The 15355-nt window shown below is 40.2% G+C and overlaps 1 protein-coding gene across 36 annotated transcripts in view, besides 1 other annotated feature; it reads right to left on the reverse strand.

Moving 5' to 3' along the window:
* Positions 1-408: 408 nt before the first annotated feature.
* The window catches only part of OSBPL3 (oxysterol binding protein like 3), a 185309-nt gene continuing 170362 nt past the window's right edge, over positions 409-15355 (reverse strand). For 34 of the 36 annotated variants that reach the window (NR_104112.1, NR_104111.1, XM_047420146.1 and 31 more), the window contains 4 exons: positions 13679-13823; positions 10648-10774; positions 8187-8309; positions 409-4151 (listed from right to left, as the gene is read on the reverse strand). Coding sequence is in view for 34 of the 36 variants with exons in the window: in XM_047420146.1 (XP_047276102.1) it covers positions 4055-4151; positions 8187-8309; positions 10648-10774; positions 13679-13823 (492 nt within the window). In the remaining 2 variants the exon portion in view is untranslated. Of the gene's footprint in view, positions 4152-8186; positions 8310-10647; positions 10775-13678; positions 13824-15355 lie in introns of those variants that run through there. The other 2 variants (NM_015550.4, XM_047420152.1) reach the window with 2 other exon arrangements.
* Positions 6156-6657: an enhancer, noted in NCBI's record as "NANOG hESC enhancer chr7:24841903-24842404 (GRCh37/hg19 assembly coordinates)". NCBI's record gives its function as "activates a minimal SCP1, AML or CMV promoter by ChIP-STARR-seq in naive H9 embryonic stem cells {active_cell/tissue: H9 hESC(naive)}" and the evidence as "EXISTENCE:reporter gene assay evidence [ECO:0000049][PMID:30033119]".

A 15355-nucleotide genomic window follows, 5' to 3' on the forward strand; every position in this document is an offset into this window, starting at 1 on the left:
GGGAGTCAAAAATTCTGTGTGGATTTTAACTGCATGGGGCATTGGCACCCCTAGCCCCTGTGTTGTTCAAGAATCAACCGTAATATTTTCATAGCACACTGGAATCGACAGAGGGGCTCCTGGGGCTGGAGGTGTCCTGTCTGGGGCTCCAGTTGCCTCAGTTCTCTCTTCCAAGGGCTGAGGGGGTTCTACAATTGTGGCGTGCCTTGGAAATGTTAGGGGAAAAGGTATGGTGACTCGATGGTTTCCAAGTGTTTTGTGTCCCAGAGTATTCTTATCTCCAACCCCCATCACTTCCAGTAACCTGGTGTGTTCCTCCTTGAAAGAGTTCAGGCATGGGTCCTGTTCTGTTCCCTTTTAGCAGCCAAATAACCTTCCCATTAACCTGGAAAAACAAAGACAAAAGTGGCCTTTTTTTCCATGTTATTTATTCACATTCAACTAGCTACATGAGGGGGATAAGCAAATTAATAGGAGCTTTTTGGGGAGGCAGAGGTATGGATGGAAGGGTGGGATTAAAACAAAATAATTTTCAGTGGTTAAGTGGAAGATTTACAAATATCCATTAAAAAAGTACCCTCTGGATAAAATAATCAGAAATAAAATAAATTAGCCACTTCTGATCACTGCATTCCCCAAAGTCTCTGAAAATGGTTTGCACTTTAGACTGTCATGATTTGCAGATATTTACATGACGCAGGTTTCCAACACAGAAAAATGAAGACTAACACTGAGTAACAGATTAGTACAATGCAGAGGAAAATAGAGCAAATGAAAATAGCTATCATCTGGTAGCAAAAATAGATTTATGCCGGTGTTAATATCAAAATAAAGACATTCAAACAAATTATGCCAATACATTGGAACTATTATTCCTAAGACCATAAGGACACCTTCTTATTGCTTCTACTCATAACTAAAAGGTCTGCGGAGATTCTGTAGTAGCCAGAAGGCATAACTTGTAGTGTATGTAGTAGGGGCTACATCAAGGTTCAACAGCCAAATAAAAACTTTATTACTTTTTAGGCTTGACATCTTTAACAGTAGAACAAGATCACTCATGATAAATCTGGAAGATGCAGATGGAAGACAGTGCTTGAAGCCCAAACAAATGATTTACTACAAGTAATTAAAAGCAGAATATGAGAAAAGCAGCAGTGTAAATGACGTAAACATTAAAAAATATATTAGTTTGTATATTTCCCCCAGGAAGTCTCACAGGAAGCACAGGACACCTGTGCGGCTGTTTGGGCATCCTGGGTACTTCTTGCCCTCAGGTGAACTCCCATCTCTTTAGTTAGGACCAGAATCCACCTGGCTTGTAGGAGAGGAACTACATGGAGAAGCTGCATTGAGGCTTTTATTATTAATACCTATGACTCAAGGAATACCAGCCTTGGGGTGCTTTGGGGCCTGGGGAGGGAAGTGACTGGCTCTCCTGCTACACTGGAGACTGTTAGCTCATTTCTGAATGGATTTCCTGCAGCGTGGGGTAGTCGACAGCTGTGACAGGAACATTACCTGAAGTGCAGGGTGGTTACCTGCACAAAGTCCCATTTCCAAAAATTTCTGTGTAATTCACCAGAAATTTTGGATGGAATAATTAGAAAAAAAAAAGAGGTTAAAACATGTAACTCAAATGGTACAGTGATTAGCATTATTTAACCAGGAGATTTAAAGTCCAGAAAATTAAATTCTACCTTGGTTCTTCCCAAATGATGCCACGTTTCTGTTTTCTTCCTCTTAAAACTATAAAATGTCCTAGAGACATACATTTGGGGGAAAGATGCTTTTGAGAAAAGGGACAGAAGGAGAAAAGAAGTCATTTCCCCCTCAAGATAGTTTTAAGCTTATAATATCAGGATGCATCACCAAGCTGTTTAAATTTCAGAAAAGCCCTTTATAGATGCTAGTACTGACTAGATTTTAAAATCTGCATATAGTTCTCTATCATATTTTAATTCGTTCCCACCCCCATCTCAAATAAGATGACTACAGACGTAATGTTTCATCCAGTTGTCCCTGGGACTCTAAAATAAAGCATAAGGGCAAGTGAAATAACATTAGGATAATTAAAGATTTTCCAAATGCCACATGACAGTGCTACGTCCATTCAGGCTGTGCATTTTGTTTTCGTTGCTTCTTTCTTTTTTGAGCCAGTCTCTGGAGCAGGCCAATTTAACAGCCAATATTACCACGATTCTACATTTATCCTCACACTGTGGAAACTACATTTGTTTTCCCCTTGAGTGCCCTTAAATCTACAGCCTGCTTCCTCATGTCTGTGAGCAGAATTTGGATAAATGCTTGAGATGGAAAGAACAAAGCATACACCAAAGAATCTGACTGTGTCATTCAACTGCTTAGAAATGGAAATGATATTCACATTGTGTTCATCTTGGCATCTCGATAAAATGAATCCAATATTTAATGAGTTGTTTTAAAATGCCAGTCACGTGCAGATTCCAGAAGGCTACACATCCACTTTAAATAACTCTCCATTTTGAAAATGCAATATTGTCCAACTGGTTATTTGGTGTGACAATGAAAAATCATGCATTCTTTTCCTGTAATTATTTTACTCTTCATTCATAACATTCGATATGCTCTGAATTTCTTTAAGTATCTCAAAGTGTTTTCTGGAGAAATCTTTTTACTACATCATTATACTTGATATTCCATAGCATTGCTATGGACTTTAGAATAAGAGGCTTAACAATTAGGCTTTGGTTTTAATGTCATCTGGACAGAAGTTGGACATGCTTTGATAACACAATTCAACTACTACACATATTATTGTAATGTGAAATAACACATTTAAAAAGACGAAGGTTCCCCTTTCAGTAGTTATAATCTGTATTATTCAAGACTGCTGCAAAACTCACAAAAGAATGATATGGATAACAAGAAAGTATAGGAAAGGGGTAAGACACTCACTTAAAGCTTTACCAGAACACAACACAAAGCAAGAACATCAATTCTCTACATTTGTCTATAAGGCAGATGGCAACTTTTTATACAAGATCTAAAATATGGTGCTTATTAAGAGGTAGAAAATACTAAAACAGCATTTAAGAAAAACATGTTGAGTTATCCAAAACAATCAGTTATTTTGCTAAACTTTTACAAAGTCAAACTGCTGTGTGGAATAAACTGTATGTTTTATATTAAACTGGGACATTCCATACTCAACAGGGAGGTGATCAAACGGAGGGACAAAAAACGGGGTGGGGTGGGAAGCAGGAAACAGTCTCTTAACTTCTCAAGGACTCAGCTCTCACTAAGGAGAAATTTCCTACTGTCTCTCTGGGATGCTATTGTGATATTTAATTAATTGGAATTCTTTTCTCTTATGAATAATTTCTCTGAGCAACAGGGTACAATTTTGCATATAAGGCAATAGAACTATAGGGAGGAACAAGTTCAAATGCTTCCTTTTCAAGAAGGTGCCGTATACGTCTTATATAAAAATATACATTCCATTAATCTTATATCCTCTCCCTAACCACTAAAATGCAAATGAAAATATTCTTCAGACTCCAGCACCAGCAGAATTGTTCTGTATGAGCAATTCAAGAGCTGTCTGAGGCAAAAAGATATTTCAGCTACCAAATTAAACTTGGGTAGCTTACGCATGGGTGAGTAACCCTGGGAATTCTTATTTCTTAATGCACCTGGGAGAGGTTGATTTTTTTTCTACAACATAATTTTATAAGGCATAAATTTAATTGGAATCTTCCCTAACCTTTGGAAAATTAGTGTTAAAGCTTCTTTTTTTAACCCACACATGAACATTCAATCTTTCATTTTTATTAAATAGTTTATATATAAAAAGAAATGTCAAGGTGTTCTACATTCATATAAACAATCAGGGTAACATTTGAAATTGTAAAGAAACGCACTGAGGAAAATATAGACTTAAAGAGTTACAATGCTAAGCTAAGCACAAGTGATCATCCTAGAGTATCTTTTAAATATATAAACACAGGTTTGTGCCACTTCAGAAGGCAAGCACAGGAGAAATACACTAATGTTATCTTTCTTCTTTACTTTTTCACCATAAGACAGGATGGTCCAGTTTGGAAAAACCAAGATCTTTTCTAAGTTCCAAATAGGTGCCGTTGCTCACCCAAGAGTCATCGTCGGATTTCCTGTGAAAGAAGAAACAATTTCTTGCAGACTCTTGAAACCAGCGTCACATTCTCAAGTCTCTTTCCTTCCTAACCTCCCTGCTTTCCCCATCCTCATTCCCACATGCATTCAGCGTCCCAGAGTGTTGGGACCGGGAATTCTGGGAATTAGATGTCCAGAAATAATTTTGTTACTTTTTTTTTTTTTTTTTTTTTGAGATGGAGGCTCGCTCTGTCATCCAGGCTGGAGTGTAGTGGCATGATCTTGGCTCACTGCAACCTCTGCTTCCCAGGTTCAATCGATTCTCCTGCCTCAGCCTCCCGAGTAGCTGGGACTACAGCCATGTGCAACCATGCCCGACTAATTTTTGTATTTTTAGTAGAGACGGGGTTTCACCATGTTGGCTAGGCTGGTCTAGAACTCCTGACCTCAGGTGATCCACCCACTTCGGACTCCCAAAGTGCTGGGATTACAGGCATGAGCCACCACGCTGGCCCATTTTGTTACACGACTTTAACTTCTCAAACTTAGAGGCTATGAAAAGTGGTGCTTCTGAGAGGAGGAGGATGTGGGGAGAGTCTGTCATATACAAAACATAACTTGCATGACTGTCAGCACCTTGGGAATGACTGCACAAAAGCTACACATCAACCAGGTTGTACATAGGAAGTGGTTAACTTTTTTTTTTTTTTTTTAAAGGAGGCCGGGTGTGGTGGCTCACGCCTGTAATCTCGGTACTTTGGGAGGCCGAAGCGGGCACATCACGAGGTCAGGAGTTCAAGACCAGCTTGGCCAACATGGCAAAACTCCGTGCCTACTAAATATACAAAAATTAGCCGGGCATGGTGGCGGGCACCCGTAATCCCAGCTACTCAAGAGGCCGAGGCAGGAGAATCGCTTGGAACTGGAAGGCAGAGGTTGCAGCAGAGAGCTAGGATCACGGCACTGCACTCCAGCCTGGAAGACAGAGCAAGACTCCTTCTCAAAAAAAAAAAAAAAAAAAAAAGTAATTGAAAGCCATAAGAGTCTGGAGAGATTAGTCCTGATTTTCTATTCTTTGAATAGAGAATATATGACACAGACCAAATTCAAAGGGCGCAAAAGGGTATACAGCTTCAAGTTTTTATCTTCCCCCTCTCTGCCAGCCTCCTGATTCTTCTCCTCAGAGGTAGTGATGTTATCAGCTTCATTCTTTCAGGGAAATTCCGTGTGTGTGTGTGTGAACACACACTCTATTCCCTCTCATTCTGACATAATGTTGTACCAGACACTGTTCTACCCTTTCAGCTTTGACATAATGAAACATATTGGAGATCATTTCCGATTAGTACAATAAGGTAAGGGTCAGCAAACTATGGCCCAAGGGTCGAATCCAGCCTTCTGCGTATCTCTGAAATACTGTTTTATTGGAACATGGCCATGTCCATTTGTTTAAATACTGTTTATGGCTGCTTTCAATGCTGAACAGCGGGGCTGCATAATAGCTACTGAATGAATTGAACCTGATGGCCTGCAAAACCAACAATCTTATCATTTGCTCTTTATAGGAAAAGTTTGGTGACTCTAGCAATAAGGGATTCCTCATTTTCTTTTTATACAGTTGTATGATATTCCATTGTATGGATGGACCACAATTTACTTAATAGGTACCCCACTGATGGGTACTTAGGTTATTTCTAAACTCTAGCTCGGCATGTTATTTTGTATGTGTGTGAGTACGGTTACATTAACAATTCCTGTAATTAGCATGGCTGGGTCAAAGAGTATGTGCATTTGTGATTCTGACTGATATTACCATATGGTTTAGAAGCAAAAGTGGAGTGTGCCTGTTTTCCTACACTCTCAGGAATGTAGATTTTTATCACACTTGTTTCCCTATTCCAGTAACACTATATGTTTAAAAATGAGTCAATCTGTGTATCAGACAGTTCACTATTTTAAAACAAAGAGGCTCAATTTGGTCTGAGCTCCAGCTTCCACTTAGAATTTTCAGTGATTTTGTTGCTGTTCCTCAGTAAGTGTTAATGACAACATCCAAGTCCCCATATTCCTCTCCAAAATCTCTTTGCCAGGTTTCTAATTTGAACAGTCCCAAGGAGGACTGCTACTGCTGAACAACTCTCGCTCTTTCTCCAATTGAAAAAAATTTTCCCATCTAATACTATGATCATTTTACAGACAGTCAAAAAGAAAAAGAGCAATGGCCGCCCCAGCTGAAGCAGCTTTCCGTCCTTTTTCATTCCAGACACAATTCCTTCCTGATTGCAATGACAGCATAATCACATTCTGTATCTTGCATTTACATGGTAATGTGTTTCCAGCAGAGCTCCACAGGCTTCGTAAGGTCATCCTTAATGCCTCATGTTGGATCGAGTTGGTGAATCTCCTTAACTAGTCCTTGAGACAGTTTGGTTACCTACCATTTTTAATGATCCTAAAAAGTACTGTAATGAACATCTTCATAATTGTACATTTTTCTTTTTTTAAAAAATGAAAATAGACAATGTATGGAAGAAAAAGAACCAACCTACTTAAGGGTGTAATGTGTTTATCTATTAACTGATCAGTAAATCAACTGATCAGTCTGTTAATCTATCCATTTTTCTATTTCTTGCCTTTTTCAAAAAAGAATGTAACATTTCCATCTTATTCTTTAAACGTTTAAATGAAGCTTGAATATTTCAGGATGAAATTTTGGCCAGTTGATTTTCCATCACTAATATCTTGAATTTGTGGAAATGATCAGAAGGGATCTAGTAGAATCTACATCAACTTTAGGGAAAAGAGCATCATATTCTTCAAGACAAAACCTTATTTGTCACTATTTTGATGTTTTGGAATACAGATTTTATTACTGCTGCTGTTATTAATAACTAAATCCTAAAAGTACTTCTGTTGTCCACTAAAAACAAACAAAAACACAAACAAAAAACATCCCAAAACAATGAAAAGACACTGGTGGCCCTGGAAGGACTTGGGCAGATGGAGTAGAGCAGGAACTTGCTGCTTTTTCACATACACCTATTTAAGTTTTTTAAAAAAAGAAAACAGAAAAACTAAAATCATATAGGCCCTGGCCTGGTAGTGAGGAGAGTCAGGCCCCATTCCAGGGTATTATACCGAGTCCTTCAACAGATCCCCCACCTGCCTTGAGCTTTCTCTTCTACTCAGTTATAGGAGGAGATGGGGAGGTGAAGGGTTGAAGATCTCTCATACCTCCTTTAAAAATTTATATCTATTGGCTGGGCACGGTGGCTCTTACCTGTACTTTGGGAGGCTGAGGCAGGTGGATCACGAGGTCAGGAGATTGAGACCATCCTGGCCAACAAGGTGAAACCCCGTCTCTACTAAAAATACAAAAATTAGCCGGGCATGGTGGCACGCGCCTGTAGTCCCAGCTACTTAGGAGGCTGAGGCAGGAGAATCGCTTGAACCCAGGAGGTGGAGGCTGCAGTGAGTCAAGATGGTGCCACTGCACTCCAGCCTGGGTGACAGAGCGAGACTCTGTATCAGAAAAAAAAAAAATTATATCTATTTTAACAAGACCTTCTTGGCAAGTTATTTTAAAGATAACAGTAAATGTAAGCCCAAGTGTACTGGAACTTCTACAATGCAAGAAACAGACTGCTTGGAATTTCCATACTGCTTAACTGTGGAGTGATCGTGAATGATCTCTGTCATGGTGTAAAACATGCCTATGGGGGTGACCAACCTTAGCTGTGGATTTAATAAGCTGGCCTGGTGCTGGGACCCAGTTCTGGCAGGCTCCCTGACTGAGGAGCTCCTCTGCAAACTCACTGGCTGAGGGCACTGGAAAAGCTCAAGGAATGCAAAAATGCAGGCCCTAGTCCTGTCTGAAGTCAGCAAGAGGGAGAGCCTGAAGGTAAGTGCGGGGGACAGGGCCTGGCACAGAGGAGCAGTACCCCCACGTGGAAGCAGGAAAAGCCTGGAGAATGCTCTTATCTGGGGACAGTACTGTTCACTTTCTGCAAACCAGAAGCATAACGTGCTGGCACCACCTATCAACCAAAAACCTACTCAATCCAGGCACGAACCTGAAAAACCGAGGCTGGTGCTCCACATGATTTTCTTCTAAGACCCGCCGCCTTTCTCTCTGCAGTTGTTCAATCCTCTGCTTTTGTATTTCAGCTTCTTCTAAGTTCCCTTCCTCTAGAAACCTGAGGCATCGAGGAAAAAAAAATGAAAGGATATGAATTCAAGAAAACAAAACAATCATTACTACTCAACTTGCATGTGTCCACGACTGGATATTCAAAATCCTCTCCTATACGTAAGACCCCGCCCCAACCGTTTAATCCGTATCTTGAAGTAGTCAGAGAAGATATTTTTTTGAATTGGTGATATTTACATAATTCAAAAATTATATCTACAAAAAAGAATTTGGGGCAAAGTCTTCCTTTCTTCCTTGTCTCTAATTCCAGCCACCTTCACCCTCCCACCCTAGAAAACCCACTTTATTAGTTTCCTCTGCATCCTTCTAGAGATTCTTCATGTGTATATAAACAAATATTAACACATATTCTTATCCCTCCCTCCGTTTAAAAAATATAAATGGTAGCATGCTATGTATCCCTTGATTTTTGGTTTTGGTTTATTTTTTATTTAACAATATATCTTACAGATCTTTCCATGGATGTACATACATCTTCATTTTTTAATAGCCACATAATATCCAGTTGCGTGGATGTATATGAATTTAGACAATTTCCTATGGATAGACATTTGAATCATTTGAATCATTTTAATGTGACAATGCCGCAATAAATGACCTTGTATATCCATCATTTTACATGAGTAAGTAGGAAAAATCTGTAGGAGAAATTTCTAGAAGTGAAATTGCTGGATGAAAGGGTGAGTGTGTAATTTATATATTACTGAACTGCCCTTTATGGGGATCATACCCAATTTATATTCCCATCAGCAATGCTGAGAGTGCCCTTTTCTCCCATAACCTCAAAGTGTATAAAACTTCTGAATTTTTGCCAATCTGATAGGTTAAAAATTGGGATGTCGACATGATTTTTAAATTTGCATTTTTCTTATTATGATTAAGGCTGAGCATCTTTTCACATGCTTAAGGGATATCTGCATTTCCTATTTTGTGGACTGTTCATTTTCCTATGTCCATTTTTTTTAACACAAACTTAAGATAAATTTAATTGAAAATGTTCATCACAGAAATTAACAATGCTTGCCATTCTTTAAACACCACATACGTTATTAATATATACTGTATATTTCCAATTAACTCCATTCTTAGGCTTGATTTAAGAAACACAATTGTAACAGACTTTATACAAAAAATACTTCCCTAAAAAAGTAGACAAACTGCACGAAACAGTACAAGCATAATGTGCATAGCAAGATAGCTTGAAGCATTCTATGTATGGCTTTCTTTAAAATAAATTAGGGGAATGGGCCCATTTGGGACCAACTGTTACAGCTGACATACGTAAACTGTTTCACATCTCTTTTAGGCATTTGCTAACAACAGTGTTCAATCCCTGCAAAATGAATTTACCTCCCTATGTCCATTTTTTCTAATGGGTTGATCTGTTACTAGATTTCTAGAGGCAATTCATGACATGAGTTGCAGATACGGACTTCTCCGTTTGTCATTTATCTTTTGACCTTATATATATAGTTTTATTTATTTTGCCATAAAGAAGGGCTTAAGTTTGTTTGTTTTGTGGGGGTGTGAGTTCTCACTGAGACACTCAGGCTGGAGAGCAATGGCGTGGTCTCGGCTCACTGCAACCTCCTCCTCTTGGGTTCAAGCAATTCTCGTGCCTCAGCCTCCCAAGTAGTTGGGACTACGGGCATGTGCCACCACGCCTGGCTAATTTTTGTATTTTTAGTACAGACGGGGTTTCGCCATATTGGCCAGGCTGGTCTTGAACTCCTGACTTCAAGTGATCCGCCCGCTTCGGCCTCCCAAAGTGTTGTTTGTTTTTAATAAAGCCAAATGTAACAATCTTTTCTTTCCTTGGGCTTCTAGATTTTGAGTCTTAATTAGAAAGGCCTTAGGGGAGACATTCTTATTTCCATTTTACAGAGTAGGAAACTGAGGCCAGGAAAGATGAAAAGACCTACCATATATCACACACCTTGTGAGCAGCAACCTAGAATCAGCAGTTAGATCTCAGTGCACCAAAATCATTTAAATTTGAGGGCTCGGGGAGCTGGAGGTTTTAACTTACTTACTTTACACTAAGTTCTTTATTACTGCATGCAGTAAAACTCTTCAAAATAAACACCTTTTTTGGCATTTCAATGCAAATGGGGCTTTACAGATAATAAAGGCCATGCCACACATGGATCCTAGTTGGGCCCCATCTCCTCCGTGATACAATTGTTTAAAGCATCCCCACCTCTCAATTCCTGATGACATTTTCCACCTTTCTCAGGTGCCTCTGGTGGCCTAAGGATTGTTAATAAGACTTTTTGTAAAGGGTTTTACATCTCTGGAGAGAAAAATCTTTAAAAAATCCTTACCTCTGGTCTGGCCTAAATCGAGTGTCAGTAGGTGGCAATAAAGACTTTGATGATGGATCCATTTCATTTAATTCCAGCGCAAACTGTGTGAAGCTATAGTATTGCTCGTAGCCTTTCGGCATAGGATCTAAGAAGAAAATAAATCATTCACCCCTAACTTGCATGTTACTTATGTTACATTTTAATTCCTTCACCTTTTTCGTCTCAGCCTAGCTACAATTTTTCTCTCTCAGCTCCCTTCCATTTCTGTTAAAATATTCTGACTAATGAACAGGCACTGAACATTTCTCTATAAATTTTCTTCTCTATAATTTTTCTTCTGCCTACAGGGATGTGGCCTCCTATGTGTGGTCAGAAAGCAAATTTATACAATGCTGTGAAGTTTCTGTAGTGCTTAAGCTATGAAAATAATTTGATTTTAAAATAAACATGCTCGGCTGGGCGTGGTGGCTCATGCCTGTAATCCCAGCACTTTGGGAGGCTGAGGCAGGCGGATCACCTGAGGTCAGGAGTTCGAGACCAGCCTGGCCAACATGGCGAAACACCATCTCTACTAAAAATACAAAACTTAGCCAGGCATGGTCTCGGGCGCCTGTAATTCCAGCTACTTGGGAGGCTGAGGCAGGAGAGTGACTTGAACCTGGGAGGCGGAGGTTGCAGTGAGCCAAGATCACGCCACTGCATTCCAGCCTGGGCGACAAGAGCGAAACTCCATCTCAAAAATAATAATAATAATAATAATAACAACAATAAATAAACATACTAATATCAGCTCTGGGTCCATTTTTCCTGATTCTCACTCTAGAGAATCTGTTTTTGATTTAAGTGATGTCAAATTCTCTTGAAACTCTGTTTAGTACCTAGAACAGTGCTGAACACAGAGCAAGTGGTTAATAAATGTTATTCTTTTCTTCCATTCCTACCCTTTTTACCAATTCTTGCCTCTCCTCAATCTTACATCTTTAAAACATTAGGTGCATTGCCCTAACTGGAATTCCAAAAAAGCTAAACATACCCAAATTTACATATTGTATAAATCCAATGTAGACTACTAAGATCTACTTACAGCCTAAGCTCTTCACACATAACAAGAGAAATGCTTGCCAGTAACTCTTCTGCAGACCCCCCCTTTTTTTTTATTGAAAGGGTCTCACTCTGTCCACCCAGGCTGGAGGACAGTGACACGATCTCAGCTCACTGCAACCTCTACTTCCAGGGTTTAAGTGATTCTCATGCCTCACCCTCCTGAGTAGCTGGGACTACAGTAGATGCACACCACCATGCCTGGCTAATCTTTGTATTTTTAGTAGAGATGAGATTTTGCCATGTTGTCCAGAGCAGTCTTGAACTCCTGGCCTTAAACAATCTGCCTGCCTTGGCTTCCCAAAGTGCTGGGATTACAGGCGTGAGCCACCATGCCCGACTGGGACCCATTTTTTGAATCTTCATAAGTCCTCCTTGTAACTAGTCTAATTCTCTGTGTATCCTAAGCATAAAAATAGTAGCAAAGTTTCCTATGGTGTCTTGGTCAGCTCCCCAGTAACCAGGGAGTGAAGATAGTGCTTTTTCTTAAAGATGGGCCAGGGATGCTCACTGCCATTAGAGAGACATAAAGTCAAGGAATAATGACAGTAACAAAAATTTAAACAGTGTTGCTTTATCAAGGTGGTACTTTAACACTGAGACAGGATCGCAGTTCTCATCTGTGATGCATACTTTAAGCAAAGGAGACAGACTGTGCCATTTGCAAAATCTCATGCTTGCCTCTGAAGCTAGGAAGGCTTCCACTGGTGCCAATTCATTCTAACTTCACGGCAACCTCTGCAACAGTGGGAGATGTGGCAGCTACCCATTGAAAGGGCCACTGCTGGCTGCCTACTTGACCATCATTTCTCTTTCTTGCTTGCTAACAGAATACTGATTCTGTTCAAATGGCATTGTGCCCTTACTGGGGATTAATCCAAGACATCTAAATCTCTCTTGCCTACTCTGTTGCCCGTGACTGGTTCACGGATGGGTCTGAACCCACTGCAGGCTGACGTGATATAAAGTCCCATTTGCTGCGGGATCTTAGGAAATGTTCCTGAGAAAAGAGAGGCACGAGAGAGGAAAGCTCTTTTGTCCTCTCATTACATGCTTGGTATGCTGTCATGCAGGGGTATGACACTGAATGGTAACAACCATTTTGCATTCATTAGGGGAAACACCACGGCACACTGGGAGTAGCAGAATGTATCCTCACTGATCTGTGTGTCCTTGACACAGGTAAATTGCCTATGTAACAACCCTGGAGCCACCCCCCCCACTCACTTACTGTTGTGTAATAGCACACAGCCTAACGGTTTAAACCACCAGTCAAATGGTTTTCTGTTTGGTTTTTTACCAGCCTGAAGCATCCTAACAGTTATATCTCAGAACAATGGTTTACAATATGACTGTGACTTGGAAACAACATAATTTTCGGACTTAGGAGATGGAATAAGATGTTAAAGTATGGTGGGGACATGCTGATGAAAGCTGGGGTTCCCTAGCTCTTCTGCCCATATCTGCTCCAAGAGCTCAGCACCCTTCTGGAATCACAGGAGTGATGAGGATGGCTTTTGGGGTTAGGTCAGCCTGGGGATAGTTAACATTTGTAGGTCTCCTGGGTCACTGCTTTTCCAGGAACACTTTCCTCTTTGTCCTTGCTGTAGAATGACTTCTTGCATTTCACTGATACTCTTTTATAGTACCCAGTAGAGTTATGCATGTGGACTGCCAGATTCCCTCAGAGAGTGCCCATGGATTAGCAATGCTTGTTCTGGGGTTAAGAACCCGGGACCCAGCAGCCCAGCAGAGGTGTTGCTGTAAGTAAGCATGACAGGGAGGTGAAGACTGGATGAAGGAAAGAGGGCCTACACCTCTAACCTAGTTCAAAGCAGAAGAGGCTGGAGATGCTGAACAGACACTACTCCTGTCCTCTGTGGCTTCTTGTGTCATGCCCACCCATCCACCCACTCACAGCCTGGGGTCCACAAACCCAGACACTCACTTGCTCTCCATACACAGGCAGAAGAGGAGCCGCCGCCACAGTAGATGCTTTCATGCCATTTCCCAAACAGCCGATGAACCGCTTTTCCACTCCTGTCAAACACTGTGCCTTCAATCTCATGGGCATTAGTGCTCCAGTATTTTGCCTAGGATTCAAATGAGTTGTTGGCTTAGTCCTTTAGCATCAGCTTATTACAGATATTAAGGAAAGAAAAAAGGAAAAGCTAGAGAAAGGACTGTAAGAGTGGCTCCATACTGCATATTAGTTTGCTAGTTCTGGGTTCCGTTTTTTTAACCGACAAATAAAAAATTTATATATTTATCATGTACAACATAGTGTCTTGAAACATGTATACATTGTGGAATGGCTAAATCAAGCTGATTAACATATGTATTACCTTACATACTTACTTATGATAACACTTAACTCTCTCAGTGGCCGGGCACGGTGGCTCACGCCTGTAATCCCAGCACTTTGGAGACCAAGGCAGGCAGATCACCTAAGGTCGGGAGTTCAAGACCAGCCTGACCAACATGGAGAAACTCCATCTCTACTAAAAATACAAAATTAGCCGGGTGTGGTAGCGCATGCCTGTAATCCCAGCTACTCGGGAGGCTGAGGCAGGAGAATCGCTTGAACCCGGGAGGCGGAGGATGTGGTAAGCCAAGGTCGCGCCATTGCACTCCAGCCTAGGCAACAAGAGTGAAGCTCCGTCTCAAAAACAAAACAAAACAAAACAAAAACAAAAACAAAAACTCTCTCAGCAATTTTCAAGTATACAACACAGTTATTAATTATAGTCATCATGTTGTACGATAGATTTCTTGAACTAATTCTTCCTGTCTGAAATTTTGGATCCTTTGGCCAGCATTTCCCAATCCTCCCCTCCACCCCTGGCAAACCCATATCAACCATTGTCCCACCCTCTGCTTCTATGAGATCAACTCTTTTAGATTCCAAATATAAGTAAGATTATGTAGCATCTGTCTGTGTCTGGTTTATGTCACTTATCCTCCAGGTTCATCTATGTTGTCACAAATGACAGGGTTTCCTTCTTTTTAAAGGCTGAACAATATTCCATTGTGTTAATATGTACCACATTTTCTTTATCCATTCATCCATTGTTGGACACTTAGGCTGTTTCCCTATCTTGGCCATTATGAATAGTGCTGCAATGAACATGGAGATGCAGGTATCTCTTTGACATACTGATTTCATTTCCTATGGATATACACCCAGTAGTGGGATTGGCAGATCATATGGTAATTCCATTTCTAATTGTTTTTAGGAACTTCCATTCTGTTTTCCATAATAGCTGTGCTAATTTACATTTCCACAAATGGTGTGTTTCCTCTTCTCCATATCCTCCTGAACACATTATTTTTCATCTTTTTGATAATAGCCATTCTAACAGATATGAGGTGATATCTCATTGTGGTTTCAATTTGCATTTCCCTGATGATTACTGATGTTCATCATTTTTTCCTCATATATCTATTGGCCACTTGTATGTCTTCTTTTGAGAAACATCTCTTCAGGTCCTTTGTTCATTTTTAAATCTGATTGTTTTCTTGCTATTGAACTCTCTATTCATTTTTTATATTAACCTCTTATCGGATGTATAGTTTACAAATATTTTCTCCTATTCTACAGATTGTTTCTTTACTGTATTGATTG

This window comes from Homo sapiens, chromosome 7 (genome assembly GCF_000001405.40).
Source record: "Homo sapiens chromosome 7, GRCh38.p14 Primary Assembly".
Taxonomy (NCBI): Eukaryota; Metazoa; Chordata; class Mammalia; order Primates; family Hominidae; genus Homo; species Homo sapiens.